The following is a 15,858-nucleotide window of genomic DNA, read 5'->3' as shown; positions in this document are numbered from 1 at the left end:
ATTTTTTGGAGATGATGTCTTGCTCTGTCACCTAGTCTGGAGTGCAGTGGCCTGGACACGACTTACTGCAGCCTCCTGGGCTCAAGTGATCCCAACACAGCCTCCCACATAGCTGGGGCTACAGGCACATGTCACCAGGCCTAGGCCTGGCTATTACTTTTTTTGAGACAGAGTCTTGCTCTATTGTATGGTGGTTCAGTCTCGGCTCACTGCAACCTCTGCTTCCTAGTAGCTGGGATTACAGTGTGATTCAAGCTGAGTTCAAGTGTGATTCTCCTGCCTCAGCCTCCCAGTAGCTGTCACATGTCACAGACATGTGACACCATGCCCCACTAAATTTTTTTTTGAGACGGAGTTTCGCTCTTGTTGCCTAGACTGGAGTGCTATGGCAAGATCTCAGCTCACCACAACCTCCGCCTCCTGGTTTCAAGTGGTTCTCCCGCCTCACCCTCCCGAGTAGCTGGGATTACAGGCATGTGCCACCATGCCCGGCTAATTTTGCATTTTTTAGTAGAGACAGAGTTTTTTCCATGTTGGTCAGGCTGGTCTCAAACTCCCGACCTCAGGTGGTCCGCCTGCCTCAGCCTTCTAAAGTGCTGGGATTACAGACGTGACCCACTGCCCCTGACCTAATTTTTGTATTTTTAGTAGAGACTGGGTTTTGCCATGTTAGCCGGGCTGGTCATGAACTCCTGGCCTCAAGTGATCTGTCCGCCTTGGCCTCCCAAAGTGCTGGGATTACAGGCACGTAGCTGGGATTACAGGCACACACCACCATGCCCGGCTAATTTTTGTATTTTTAGTAGAGATGGGGTTTCACCATAATGGCCAGGATGGTCTCGATCTCCTGAATGCGTGATCCGGTTGCCTGGGCCTCCCGAAGTGCTGGCATTACAGGCGTGAGCCACCGCACCTGGCCCTAATTTTAAAATTTTATGTAGAGGCAGGGTCTCGCTATGTTTCCCAGGCTGGTCTCTTTGAACTCCTGGGTTCAAGCGATTTTCCTGCCTTAGCCTCCCAGAGTGCTGGATACAGGCATGAGAGCTCCATGTCTGGCCTGTACATCCCATCTTTTGATCTGGTTTCTTTTCACTTTGTACAGTTAAATCAGAGGTGAAAGTACTTAGCTTTTCTTCACTTAAGCCTGGAAAATCTTAAACTTGTCAACATTGAATCACGTTCAGAACCATGTTTTATATGTCTGATATTTTGGCTTATGTCTATTTTTGTTTTTATTTTTTGTTATGGTTATGTTGGATATGGACTGGTAAGTAGTATAATCAATCATTAGCCCACATTTTGCTTTCTGTTGTAAAGGGCTACATTGTTCTTCCACAGTAATATACAGTACATTTTTCTTTTTTTTGGCTACTATCAGCCCTTAAAAATTAAGGGGGTTTACCTTAACACCAAGTGTCCATTAACACTGGATAAAATATCTATTCTAAAGTGTTTTACAAAAAACACTGGTAACACGTTGTTTTTCAGGTTGTGGTGTTCATACTTTATTTTCTTAGGTTGTCTTCTTTGGAGCTTGCCTACTCCAAATGTCAATTTCTTTTCAATATTTTTTACCTTATAATTTTGTATATTCTGTGTACTGAGTTGGCTCAATATGTTATTAGGCTTTGGGTCTATTCACAGGGCATAAGAAAAATTCATAATTGATTAACATGTCTGATTTACTAACTCATTCCACAGTATTATTGTATGGGTTGTATAATTATATTCTTATGCAAGTTAAAGAAAGACTTTTAAAAATTAGGTGCATATGAACTGCTAAAATCATGGAAGTAGTAGTTTTTGAACATGTTAAGAACATGAACACAGCAGCAAGGCCTGTTAAGTCCAAGGTACTTTAAACAAAAAATGCAGACTCATCTAACAGTGCAGAACTGCTGGAGGCTGAATTATGTTTGTGTTTCTTTGTGGTGAAGATGAGGAAGTTGCAGTATTGTAAGTGATAAAGGATTACATTTTCACAAATTTCCTTCCTGACAGTTCCATAATTGTAACTAGACTAAAACACTTGGTTTCAAAGGTCATTTGCAATGTATTGCATCAGATAAACTTGGCCATATTTTCTCTCAATTTGAGTTCTAAGATGAAATTCAGCCCTATGATATGGGAAGGATTGTAATTAAGTGATAAATAAAGGGATTTTTTCCCCCAAAGGGTATTTAATGTGTGGAAACCTCTTTAAGGGTCTATAGAATTACCTGAGGAAGTATTAGAAAATAAGAAGTGGGAGTTAAGTATTTTTTTCTGTCATCACAGGAAGCCTGAAATCTTTTTTTTTTTTTAAGTACTTATCCAAATCACTATTCTTTTAAAATCTTACAAAATCTTACTTCTGGTTCATATTGCCAGCATGTTGAAATGTAAAAAGAGCATTAGGTTGGAAATCAGAGGATTTTTAATGATGTTGAGGAAGTTATTATTTATAATTTTCTGTTCGTTTTCATTTGGAATTTGTAAATAATAGCAAGCTGCCTTTATGGGGGTATTTGTGAAGATTAAATCAGATATGAAAATGAAATTGCTTTGTAAGTGGTGGAGTTATCTACTCATATGAAGTATTATTGTACTAAGTGCATTTACATAAAGCACTTATATGTTTGAAGTGTGATGCCTTGATGTGATAAATACTTTTTGACTGGGAAGTTTGATGAAGAAAAAAAGTCAAATGGGTTATTCATTTGATTTCTTGGTAGAGATTGGTGGCTTTTTCCAGACTGAAGGAAACCTGGCTCCTCTCCTGACTGTGACTTTGCACTCTGTTGCATCAAATGTCCTGAAACTGCAGTGTACTTCTGTGGTTGAGCTTTTAATTTTGGTTTTGATTTGTTTTAATCTCACTTCTATAAGTGTAAGAATGGTCATCAGTCTAGTTTGACAATAGGAAGTAGCTATTGTTTTTAATATTCTCAAATGGATCTTTAAGTTATTTCATGAACAATGAGACTACATTGAATGTGAAATCTCAGGTCCTCTGAGAAATACATTTCATGTTTAAAGCATTAGTCTTTGAGCCAAAGAAATAATGGAGTTTAGATTTTTCCTTCTGGGGAAGTTATCTCTGGCTATGAGAGGATCTGACCCTTGAGATTAACTTCAAGTTAGGTTGATATATAGAATATTTACGATAAAGAAAAAGTATTTTAGAAACAAGTACATATTGGCTGGGTGTGGTGGCTCATGCCTGTAATCCCAGCACTTTGGAAGGTCGAGGAGAGTGGATCACCTGAGGTCAGGAGTTTGAGACCAGTCTGGCCCAACATGGTGAAACCCCGTCTCTACTAAAAATACAAAAATTAGCCTGACTTGGTGGTGTGTACCTGTAGTCCCAATTACTCAGGAGGCTGAGGTGGGAGGATCGCTTGAGCCAAGGAGTTTGAGGTTACAGTGAGCTGTGATGGTGCCACTGTACTCCCGCCTGGGTGAGTGACAGAGCGAGATCCTGTCTCTAAAAATAAAGCTATAATAAAGACATTAACAAATAAAATTGGAGCTATTTATCAAAACTTTGAACTTAATACTAATTAATAAAGTAGCTCAAGGAAAAAAGTAAGTAGTGTAAGCTACCATTAGGCAAATTATGCTGAGAAGTATAGTAAGTGCTATAGATTCAGGGGAAAATGAAATCTGTATGTCAGAAACAGTGATCTAGGAAAATTTCATGGGAGAAGACAGCTTTAAATACAGAAATCAGAATGAAGGAAGAAAAGCATTTCAGGAAGTGAAGACATGGAGTTAGGGTTGTCCATTTTGTGTTCAGAAGACAGCAATTAAATTACTTCAGCCATATGACGAGGAAAGCTAATCAGATTAGTTGCAAATTAGGTGAGAACCAGATAGTGGGAGTTTTTCAGTGTCACACTAAGGAGTGTGTCTTTATTGTACAGAATACTTACTCTTAAAGTTGGGCAGACTCTGAGTGGGAAGAAAAATATTTTAGCACTGGGTATAAGTGTATGTAACCTGCAGTCTCTTTCATCTTTGCCTCTATGTTTATAGGGTAGTAGTGGTTTTTTTTTTTTTTTGAGACGGAGTTTCATTCTTACGCCCAGGCTGGAGTGAAATGGCGTGGTCTCGGCTCACTGCAACCTCCACCTCCTGGTTCAAGTGATTCTCCTGCCTCAGCCTCCCGAATAGCTGGGATTACAGGCATGGGCCACCATGCCTGGCTAATTTTTGTATTTTTAGTAGAGACGGAGTTTCGCCATATTGGCCAGGCTAGTCTTGAACTCCTGACCTCAGGTGATTCACCCGCCTCGGCCTCCCAAAATGCTGGGATTATAGGCATGAGCCACTGCGCCCAGCAGTAGTGTGTTTTTAGGGAGGGACAGGGAAGGTTGAAAAATGGCACTGTAGAAAGCCATCAGTACCATAGCAATTAAACCAGCGTTGTAGTGGTTCAGGAATAGAAAATAGATCAGTGGAACAGAATAGAGAACACAGAAATGGATTAATAAATGTGTGGGACTTTATATGACAAAAGGTGGCATTTCAAATTATAGAAAAAGTGTGGAATATTCAATATTTGGTTTAATTTCCACTTCACACCAAAAGAAAAAAAATCCAAATGCATGAATTAAACAGCTAAATGTAAAAGCCAAAAACTGTGGAAGTATTAGTAGAAAATACAGGAGAATAATTTTATAGTCTTGGGAGCAGGAAAAACTTTCTAAAACAAGATACAAAATCTAGATACTATAAAGGACACCCTGTTTTCCAGCCTCTACATTGACTGTATAAAATTTGAAACATAATAAAGATACTTTAAAAATGTTTGAGGCATGCTAGAACATTAATTCATGACCCAACTTATAAGGAACTACAAATCAGTAATGACAATCTAATAGGAAAGTGAACATATGAATATAGATGCTTCACAGAAAAGGAGATGAGGATAGCCAGTAAACACAAGATGCACAGCCCCACTGAAGTCTTCCTGGAAGTGCAGATTAAGGAATTTATTATTTTGCTCATGAGATGAGCGGAAATTAAAGATGGTTGTTACTCTGTTGGTGGGATTGTGGAGAAATAGGTACTTTCATATGTTGTTGGCAGCAACTTTGTACTACCTTTGGGAGAGCAATTTAGCAATATCTATAATTTTTTTTGTTTGTTTTGTTTTGTTTTTGTTTTTTTGAGATGGAGTTTCACTGGAGTGTGCCTGGCCTTTTTAATTTATTTTTGAGATGGAGTCTGGCTCTGTAACCCAGGCCTTAGTGCAGTGGTGTGATCTCGGCTCACTGCAACCCCCACCTCCTGGGCTCAAGCGATTCTTCTGCCTCAGCCTCCCAAGTAGCTGGGATTACAGGCACGCACCATCATGCCTGGCTAATTTTTCTATTTTAGTACAGGTGGGGTTTCACCATGTTGACCAGGCTGGTCTCGAACTCATGACCTCGTGATCCGCCCACTTCGGCCTCCCAAAGTGCTGGGATTACAGGTGTGACTCACCACCCCTGGCCTTTTTTTTTTTTTTTTTTTTTTTTTGAGGTAGAGTATCTTGTCCAGGCTGGAGTGCAGTGGTATTATCTCGGCTCAGTGCAACCTCCACTTCCTGGGTTCAAGCAGCAATTCTTGTGCCTCAGCCTCCCGAGTAGCTGGGATTAAAGGCTCCTGCCACTATGTGGGCCTAGCTAATTTTTTTGTATTTTTAGTAGAGATGGGGTTTTGCCACGGGCCAGGCTGGTCTCAAGTGATCCTCCCAAAGTGCTGGGATTATAGGTGTGAGCCACCACGCCCTACTAATTTGTTGTATTTTTAGTAGAGATGGGTCTTCACCATGTTGCCCAGGCTGGTCTCAAACTCGTGAGTTCAAGCGATTTGCCTGCCTTGGCCTCCCAAAGTATTGGAATTACAGACGTGAGCCAACGGGCCCGGCCTGTGGCTTTTCGTGGAGTTCTTAGAACGTAAGTTTTCTGTGCTGTTGTGCCTTCTACTTTCTCTACCTTTTGGAATGTCTTCACTTTCCAGTCCCTTTTACCTAGATAATTTGAATTACTCTCTGAAGGCTCAACCTACTTTTCATGAGTTACAGATATTTGCTTCTTAAGGATCTTTTTTTATCAGTTTCATTTTGATATTTTAGATGTGAATTCAATTTGGTTGACAGAGTCTTGCTCTGTCACCCAGGCTGGAGTGCAGTGGCACAATCTTGGCTCACTTTAATCTCTGCCTCCTGGATTCAAGCCATTCTTCTGCCTCAGCCTCCCAAGTAGCTGGGACTACAGGTGCCCACCACCATGCCCGGCTAGTTTTTTTTTTTTTTTTTTTTTTGTATTTTTAGTGGAGATGAGGTTTGCACCATGTTGGCCAGGCTAATCTGGAACTGTACCCGACCTGACAGTTGATCTTTTTAATATTTAGCTTAGCTTATCTCTAGGTGTTTCATCCATAGAACTAAATCTCAGTTGTGTTCAGGTACAAAAAAGATGGAAAACTACTCATTCATTCTTCAGAACTGTTTTCAGGACTTCAAGGAGGCCTTCCCTAACCACCCTATTTAACATTCCAGTTCTTGCACCATCCCCACCCCTACTCTGCCCTCACTTTTTTCTCCATGGCACTGGGCACCAGCTGGCTAACTCTGTCTTCAAAAAGTACTTTTCTTTGGGGGAGGTTTTTCTTTTGTTTTTGTTTTCTTTCTTTCAGTCCTGTATCTTCAGCACTTAGAAGAGTTCATGGCACACAGTAGGTACTCAATAAGCATATGTTGAAAGAATGAATGCAGTTTCATGTTCCGGATGAGGATAGGCTCATTTAAAATATTTTCATATGTTTATTAGACAAAAAGTAGCCTTCAAAAAAGTTTTCATGCTGGGCGCAGTGGCTCACACCTGTAATCCCAGCACTTTGGGAGGCCAAGGCAGGCGGATCATGAGGTCAAGAGATCGAGACCATCCTGGCCAACATGGTGAAACCGCATCTCTACTAAAAATACAAAAATTAGCTCGGCATGGTGGTGCGCACCTGTAATCCCAGTTACTTGGGAGGCTGAGGCAGGAGAATCTCTTGAACCCGGAAAGCAGAGGTTGCAGTGAGCCGAGATCGCGCCACTGCTCTCCAGCCTGGAGACAGAGTGAGACTCTGTCTCAAAAAAAAAAAAGTTTTCATTAGTTGGGATCTTGTATCCTCTTCCCTTTCTCAAGTGATGTGTTTTAAAGCAGACATTTTCATATCCTTTGGCGGAGGTGAAAGACCCAGACCTTTTGAAAAGTATTTTACAAATACGTTCTTGAAAGCACTCCAGACTGACTCGCTTATCTTTGGTCACATGACAGTACAGCTGCACTTTGAGGCCTTTGCCTATAGCCTATTGGTTGCCTTACTTCGGAATTGTAGACGTGTGGGAGAATAATGCTCCCATTCTTCTCCATCTTATCTAGTTCTAGAAGATATAATGGTAATGGAAACCTCACCTTTTTCATAGTAAAATGTAGCTACCCAGGAATGATGAGGGGCACCATCATATCAGGTAATATTCATTCCAGTTATATTTTATGAGGTAAAATTGATACTGTTGTTGTGTTGTTCTTACAGATTTTGACAGGCTCCACCAAAGTGTTTTTAAATGACTTATTTAGCCTCTAACTCTCCCCTGAATTCAGTCTCCAGACGCCTACTTTATGTTTCCTCTTGGATGTGATAATAACTATCTCAGATTTAAAATGCCCCAAACCAATTTGCTGGTTTCCTTTTCTTCTTCTTTTTTTTTCTTGAGATGGAGTCTTGTTCTGTCTCCCAGGCTGGAGTGCCGTGGCATAGTCTCGGCTCACTGCAACCTCCACCTCCCGAGTTCAGGCGATTCTCCTGCCTCAGCCTCCCGAGTAGCTGGGACTACAGGCATCCACCAGACCACCTGGCCAATTTTTGTATTTTTAATAGAGACAGGGTTTCACCATGTTGGTCAGGCTGGTCATGAACTCCTTACGTCAAGTGATCTGCCCACCTCGGCCTCCCAAAGTGCTGGGATTACAGGTGTGAGCCACCATGCCCGGCCCAATTTACTGATTTTCTTCTCATAACCTGCTCTTTTTGAAGTCTTTCTGCCTCAGTAGCTATTCCATTCTAGTACTCGGTGAGGCCAGGAGTCATCCTTTATACCCCATATTCAATACATCAGGAAGTCCTGTTGGCTGCTGTACCTTTGAAATCCGTGTATAATCTGTCCATTTCTCACTGTCTTCACTGCCACCATTCTAGTCCAAACCACCATCATGTCTCACCTGGATTATCATAGTAGCCATGCAAATGAACTTCTTGCTTCTGCCTTTGCTCCCCCACAATGCTGTCCCAGTAGGTAGCCAGAGTGATCTTTTATTCCTTTTCTCAAAACGCTTCTGTGACTTTTAGTTCTCAGAGTGTAAAGCTAAAACGCTTTTTAAAAGGAGTCTTAGGATCTGTAAGCCCTACTCAGTCTGTCCCCTTGCCACCACTCTGTTTATTATCTTGTGGGTTTTTTTTTTTGTTTGTTTTTTTTTGAGACGGAGTCTCGCTCTGTCGCCCAGGCTGGAGTGCAGTGGCGCCATCTCGGCTCACTGCAAGCTCCGCCTCCCGGGTTCACGCCATTCTACTGCCTCAGCGTCCGAAGTAGCTGGAACTACAGGCGCCCGCTACCACGCCCGGCTAATCGCCCGGCTAATTTTTTGTGTTTTTTTGTAGAGACAGAGTTTCACTGTGTTAGCCAGGATGGTCTCGATCTCCTGACCTCGTGATCCGCCCACCTCGGCCTGGAGTGCTGGGATTACAGGCGTGAGCCACCGCGCCCGGCTTATCTTGTGTTTAATCTTTTCCTCCTCTCTCCTGCTAGGCGATCCACACAGGCCTCCTTGCTGTTTCTCAGAGGTAGAGCTCTGATCTCAGCTTTATAGCTACTATTTCTTAAATGCTCTTCCTCCAGTTAACTGTATATAATGGTGCCTCACTCATTCAAATCTTTGCTCACATATACTTCAGCAATGAAGCTTGCCCTGACCATCGTTTTTAGAGTTAAGCTTCTCTATCCCAGCATAAATCTATCCCAGAATAAATCTCCTCAAATATTTTACAGGGTTTGACTGTTTTTGTCGACATAAGTCTAAGGTTTTTGACCTGAATGTGTGGTGACTCTTGCTTGTAATGGCTGTATTGTTTTTGGCTACTGCAATTCTGTGAGTTAGCAGAAATAGGAGCAGCAGGAAGATGATTTCAGTATTGTAGCTGTTGTGTGTTAAACACTTGAGAAACCTGCAAGGGGACATCAAAAGCAATTGGAAATATATGACTAGAGATCGAGTTAAAGAAACTACTCTGAGGAATAAAAGGAAGCCTGAGCCTAAACAGAGCTTCAAGTTTATTGTCTTCACAAAGTATTCTTCTTTTTATAACCGTATGATTTCTTAGCCTTTGTAACTGTCCTGTAAATTCTGCTTATTTCTAAATTACTATTAGTAAAGCTCTTAAAATGGGGAGGGTTTATACATTTACCAATGGTCAGATTAATGGGAGAGGAAGCTCATGGATTTCTCCAGAATTTTGAGTTCTTTTTTTTTTTTTTTTTTGGAGGTGGAGTCTTGCTCTGTTGCCCAGGCTGGAGTGCAGTGGTGCGATCTTGGCTCACTGCAACCTCCACCTCCTGGTTTCAAGCAATTCTCCTGACTCAGGCTCCTGAGTAGCTGAGACTACAGGCGCACGCCAGCATGCCCGACTAATTTTTGTATTTTTAGTAGAGATGGGGTTTCACTATGTTGGCCAGGTTGGTCTTTAACTCCTGACCTCCTGATCTGCCTGCCTTGGCCTCCCAAAGTGCTGGGATTACAGGTGTGAGCCACCGCACCCAGCCTAATTTTGAGTTCTGTAAAGAACAATTAACTGCACTATCACCCAGACGTGGTTACCTTTCTTGTTTATTGATTGCTTAATATGTATTTAGCATTCATTCAATATGTGTTGGGAATACATTATAGGCTGGTAAACAAGCAATTACAGCACAATATTCTATATTAAGTGCCAGATGCAGAAAATAATAAGAGTCTTAGGGATGGGGTCAAGGGATGGTTCTCAAAGGAAATGAACCGTTAGCTGAGACAAGCAGAGGAGTTTCGGTGGAGGTAAAGGGGATGGGCAACTGATCAGAATATGTAAAGCCCTGGAGTAAAGACAAAGCCAAGCATTTTGAGGGGAACTGAGAAGGTTGGGCAAAGCGGGAATGAATTAAAAGAGATGAGAGCTAGAGATAAAATACTTGATATTCAAGGCTTTGGGGCATTATCTTGAAGAAAATCTTAACATTTTAAAGGAATTACATAATGAGATTATCATTTGAAGATCTCTAGCTATAATGGGGAGGTTCAAACTGCCAGGGGGCTTTCATATTCACTGTGTCTAGGATAGGGCTTAAAAAGTTACTTTTTTTTTTTTCCTTTGATTGTAGTACACGCCCAACATTTTGAGAACAGTTGAATTAATAGGGTTCTTTAGTAAGCCTGTTAGTTTTGCTTATCCAAATTGTCATGGTGGTGTTAGGGCCAGCGGGAAATCTTTTTCTCTTTTGGGCTGGATGGTGTTACCAAAACACCAGGGGTTTGGTCTAGGTCCTGCTGCTTGCCGCACAGAAAGCCAATCACAGAGACGGGTATTGCCAGGGAAGAAGGCTTTAATTGGGTGCTGCAGCCAAGGACATGGGAGATCAGTCTCAAATCCATCTCAGTCTCAAATCCATCTCTGACTGACTAAAATTAGAGGTCTATATAGCAGAGAAGAAATGTAACCATGTGTGGGCAAACAGGAATTAGAGAGGGGTGAGGAAGAGAAGTTGGTCAACAGGCAGCAGGTGGTCAGTTAAGCAATCATGCAGGCTCTGGCTTCTCATTGTCCAGTTGCAGTGATCTGTTAAGTAAGTTTCAGCTTCTTAATACTATCTAGGAGGCCTGATGGTTTGTTTCCTAAGAAAGGAGCTTAGATAACACAAATAGAACTTTCTCAAGTTTTAAGACTGTGAGGATCAATTTCTGTATTTATTCAGAGAAACCATAAAGATCAGTTCTGTGGGATAATTGGCTGGTTTCAATGTTATCTTTCCTTGAAGGAAGTAAACAAAGCATTAAACTGGGGCCTGATTAAAGTGGGCTTATTGATTTGAGAAATTCAAGTATGGTAAGTTGTCCCAAGTCAGTAATGTATTTTACTTTTTTTTGTAATCTGTTAGAAGATGGGAGCAGGCAAAGGGAAGGAGGGAAGCTTTCACACAGTGGAGAAAGAATGCTTTTTAGGCTTCAGCCAGTTTTTCTTATCACAAAGCCCTCACCTACTTCTTGTTTCATATAGAATTCTTCCAGTTACCCAGTCACTTAAACCAGAAACCTGTGAGCTATCCTACACTTTCTCCCTTATATAGTTGGTTATTCAGTCCTTTAATAAAATAATCTTTAGGCTGTGTACAGTGGCTCACACCTGTAATCCCAGCACTTTGGGAGGCCGAGGTGGGTGGATCACTTGAGCCCAGAAGTTTGAGACCAGCCTACCAAACTAGCAAGACCCCGACTCTTAAAAAGAAATTAGCTGGGCAGGGTGGCACATACCTGTATAGTCCTAGCTACTTGGGAGGCTGAGATGGGAGCATCTACTTGAACCTGGGAGTTTGAGGCTGTGTTACTGGTGGAGGGTGTCCAGGTTCTTGGCATCTTGAACAAAGAACTGGACAAAACACACAGACAAAGCAAGGAAGGGATGAAGTCAGAGATTTATTGAAAATGAAAGTACACTCCACAGTGTGGTGGCGGGCCCTAGCGTAGGGGCTCAAGGGCACCGTTATAGAATTTGTGGGGGTTTCAATACCCTCTAGAGGCTTCCATTGGTTACTTGGTGTATACCCTATGTGAATGGAGAGGTGAAGTAAAGTTACAAAGTCATTTACTTGGTGTATGCCCTATGGAGAGGATATTTCCTGTCATAGCTGAAGTGTGAATCGGCCTAATGTTCCCTGCCTCCAGACCCTATTTTCCCATCTCAGCAAGCCGTGTTCATACTACTGTACTCCAGCCTGAGTGACAGAGTGAGACCTTGCATCCAAATAATGATAAAAATAATAAAATAACCTTTCATGTCTTCTCAGATCTCTTCAAAACCCTTCCCGCTATCTTCTAAACCCTTTCCCTCATCAACACTGGTTAAGTTCAGATGCTCATATTTTTCATGGAATATTATGTTGCTTCCTTGCATCCCACAGGTCTAGGGTTGTTGAGTTGCTTCCCTATCTTGAAAAAAAACATTTTTTTGAGACAGGGTCTTGCTCTGTTACCCAGGCTGGAGTGCAGTCATGCAGTCATAGCTCACTGCAACTTTGAACTCCTGAGCTCAAATGATCCTCCTGCCTCGGCTTCCCAAGTAGCTAGGACAACAGGTGTGGGCCACCATGTCCTGCTGATTAAAAAATTTTTTTTGGTAGAGATGGGGAGTCTCACTATGTTGCCCAGCCTGGTCTTGAACGCCTGGCCTCAAGTGATCCTCCCACCTCAGCCTCCGAAAGTGCTGTTACAGGTGCAAGCCGCCACTCTTGGCCCTGCCATCTTAATATATGCTATTTAATTTAATTAATTAATTTATTTATTTTGAGACGGAGTTTCCCTCTTGTTGCCCAGGCTGGAGTGCAATGGCGCCATCTTGGCTCACCGCAACATCCGCCTCCTGGGTTCAAGCAATTCTCCTGCCTCAGCCTCTCGAGTAGCTGGGATTACAGGTGCTTGCCACCATGCCCGGCTAATTTTTTGTATTTTTAGTAGAGACAGGGTTTCATCATCTTTGCCAGGCTGGTGTTGAACTCCTGCCCTTATGATCTACCCGCCTTGGCCTCCCAAAGTGCTGGGATTATAGGCGTGAGCCACTGCACCTGGCCAAATCTGACCAGATACAACCGCTTATGCCTGTCATCCTAGTACTTTGAGAGGCCAAGAAAGGTGGATCACTTGAGCTCAGGAGTGTGAAACCAACCTGGGCAACATGGCAAAACCCTGTCTTTACAAAAAATACAAATATTAGGCATGGTGGCGCACACCTGTAGTTCCAGCTACTCAGGAGGCTGAGGTGGGAGGGTAGCTTGAGCCTGGGAGGTCAAGGCTGCAATGAACTGTGTTCATGTCACTGCCCTCCAGCCTGGGTGACAAAGCGAAATCCTGTCTCAAAAATTAAAAAAAAAATCATGGCCAGGTGCGGTGGCTTCATGCTTGTAATCCCAGCACTTTGGGAGGCTGAGTTGGGTGGATCATGATGTCAGGAGATGGAGAATCTCCTGGCCTTTAGTAGAGATGGTGAAACCCCGTCTCTACTAAAAGTACAAAAATTAGCTGGGCATGGTGGCGCGTGCCTGTAATCCCCGCTACTCGGGAGGCTGAGGCAGGAGAATCGCTTGAACCAGGGAGTCAGAGGTTGTGGTGAGCCGAGATGACGCCACTGCACTCCAGCCTGGTGACAGAGTGAGACTCCGTCTCAAAAAAAAAAAAAAAAAAAATCAAATCTGATCTTTTAAACTATATTTGTACTAGATTGTCTTTTTTATTTTTTATTTTTTTAAAGAACTTTCATATTCTTTTACATTTTTCTGCCTTTGTTTTTCCTGTGTGATGCTTTTTCCTTTTTCACTGGGACATCTTTCCTTGTCATCAGATCTTTTGATTTTTTTTTTTTTTTTTTAGGAATCAGAAATCGTTTTGTTTGTTTTTTGCAATGTTGCCCAGGCTGATCTTGAACTCTTGGACTTGAGCGGTCCTTCCGTCTTGGCCTCTCCGTGTTGGGGTTACAGACGTGAGCTACCACACCTAGCCCCCCCCCCCCTTTTTTTTTTTTTTTAAAGAGTCAAGGTTTCACTGTATTACCCAGTCTGGAGTGCAATGGCAGTTCACAGGCATGATCATTATGGCTCTTAACAGCCTTGAACTCCTGGCCTCAAGGGATCTTCCTTCCTCAGTCTCCCAGGTAGCTGGGATTAATAGGCACTCTCCACTGCTTCCGGCTCCAGAAATCTTCATTTTAATGTAGTATCTCAATTTTTAAATTTTGACAACTGTTAATTTACTTTAAAAAATGCTATCAAATTTGCAGCCTCATTTATAGAGATTTCCTTGATCATTCTCCTTTCCCCCTGCAAATTTAATTGCTCAGTCTTTGTGTATTTCTGTCATTGCATAATTTTCAAGCTATTATAAACATGATTCTCATACAAATAGACATTGATACATATCATAAACTTTTTTGAAAGTCCTGAAAAATAGTGGAATGAGAAATTGGGATTTATATAGTCAGTTTAGGCCAGGTGCAGTGGCTCACGCCTGTAATCCCAGCGCTTTGGGAAGCTGAGGAGGGCGGATTGCTTGAGGCCAGGCCTTCCAGACCAGCCTGGCCAACATGGCCAAACGTTGTCTCTACAAAAAATACAAAAAATTAGCTGGGCATAGTGGCACATGCCCATCTACTTATGGGGCTGAGGCAGGAGGATCGATTGAGCTTGGGAGGTCAGGGTTGTGGTGAGCCATGATTACGCCATTGCACTCAAGCCTGTATGACAGAACGGGACCCTGTCACACTCAAAATAAAGAAAAGAAATATAGTCAGTTTAATAAAGAATGCTGAAATAAAATTGCTAAGATATAAACGTGGTTAATATCCTACAGGGTATTTAAACTGTAGCTTTTTGGATAACCTCTACTGACTGGACAGAAAAAATTTATTTTACCGTAGTAGTTTTCTGTAAGTTTACTTTTAAATTTGTAGAGTTATAAACTGCCTGGGCCTTAATTGAAATTAGAAATAAAACAATTAGATGACCTCAGGTGAGCCTATTACAAAATGCTCTTGTCATAACATTAAAAGTCATACAATTGATACCTTATTTCAGGTTTTGAATAATTCATTTGAAACATGTTAATTTTTATACTATTAGCGACCAACCTTTTTGTATCCTCTCTTTTTGAAATATTAATGTACAGGAGTTTTCAGAATAATTAACAGATTATATAGATCTGACTTGAGGCTAGGAGTTTGAGACCAGCCTGGCCAACATTCGCAACGAGTGAAACCTCGTCTCTACTAAAAATACCAAAAAACAAAACAAAACCCCCAAAAACAGATTATATAGATCTGTATTTTTGCCCTGTTCTCATTTGAGCACTAGTTCCATATTGTCTTCAGTAGAGTTCTATTAGAACTTGGATCTAATGTGTTCACAGTATATGTCCAATAACAGAAGCATAAGACACATGTAGAATAAATCAGTAGGAGTACTATTTGCTTTACTAAGTTGGGTTTTGAAGTTTAAAGGAGTTTCAGATACAAAAAGAAAAAACCAGGTGGAGTGACCATTGTATGCTGGCTTAGGGCTTGAGTCCAGGTTGTTGCCAGTGACCAGATGTTTGTAACCAACCTCTGGTGTCTTCCCCCCTGCCCCAACTTTAACACAACTGAAGTATTGCTGACACAGTTATTTTCATAAAAACAGTTTGATTGCCGGGCGCAGTGGTTCACGCCTGTAATCCCAGCACTTTGGGAGGCTGAGGCAGGCGGATCACGAGGTCAGGAGTTCGCGACCAGCCTGGCCAACATAGTGAAACCCCGTCTCTACTAAAAATACAAAAATTAGTGGGGCGTGGTGGCACGCGCCTGTAGTCCCAGCTACTCGGGAGGCTGAGGCAGGAGAATCACTTGAACCCGGGAGGCGGAGGTTGCAGCAAGTCGAGATCGTGCCACCGCACTCCAACCGGTCGACAGCTCGAGACTCCGTCTCAAAACAGTTTCATCATGTTTCTTCTATGTTTGAAAATGTAAATTACTTCATGTTGCCAACATACAGACTTCATTTTCTTGGCATAGGAGCTT

At 42.0% G+C, this 15,858-nt stretch overlaps 1 protein-coding gene and 1 long non-coding RNA gene across 5 annotated transcripts in view, besides 1 other annotated feature; both read left to right on the top strand.

Annotated features, from left to right (window-relative positions):
* Nucleotides 1-15,858, top strand: part of DNAAF4-CCPG1 (DNAAF4-CCPG1 readthrough (NMD candidate)) — a 143,362-nt gene that overhangs the window by 92,876 nt on the left and 34,628 nt on the right. The gene's annotated exons all lie outside the window — the stretch shown is intronic.
* CCPG1 (cell cycle progression 1) overlaps nucleotides 1-15,858 on the top strand; it is a 53,121-nt gene that overhangs the window by 2,651 nt on the left and 34,612 nt on the right. The window lies entirely within an intron of this gene.
* Nucleotides 1,864-2,158: an enhancer, noted in NCBI's record as "tiled region #6559; K562 Activating non-DNase unmatched - State 1:Tss". NCBI's record gives its function as "activates a minimal TATA promoter and a strong SV40 promoter by Sharpr-MPRA in K562 cells {active_cell/tissue: K562}" and the evidence as "EXISTENCE:reporter gene assay evidence [ECO:0000049][PMID:27701403]".

The sequence above is a fragment of the Homo sapiens genome, chromosome 15 (genome assembly GCF_000001405.40).
Source record: "Homo sapiens chromosome 15, GRCh38.p14 Primary Assembly".
NCBI lineage: Eukaryota > Metazoa > Chordata > Mammalia > Primates > Hominidae > Homo > Homo sapiens.
The sequence above is the reverse complement of the archived record's forward strand: the minus strand, read 5'-3'. Positions and strand labels throughout refer to the sequence as shown.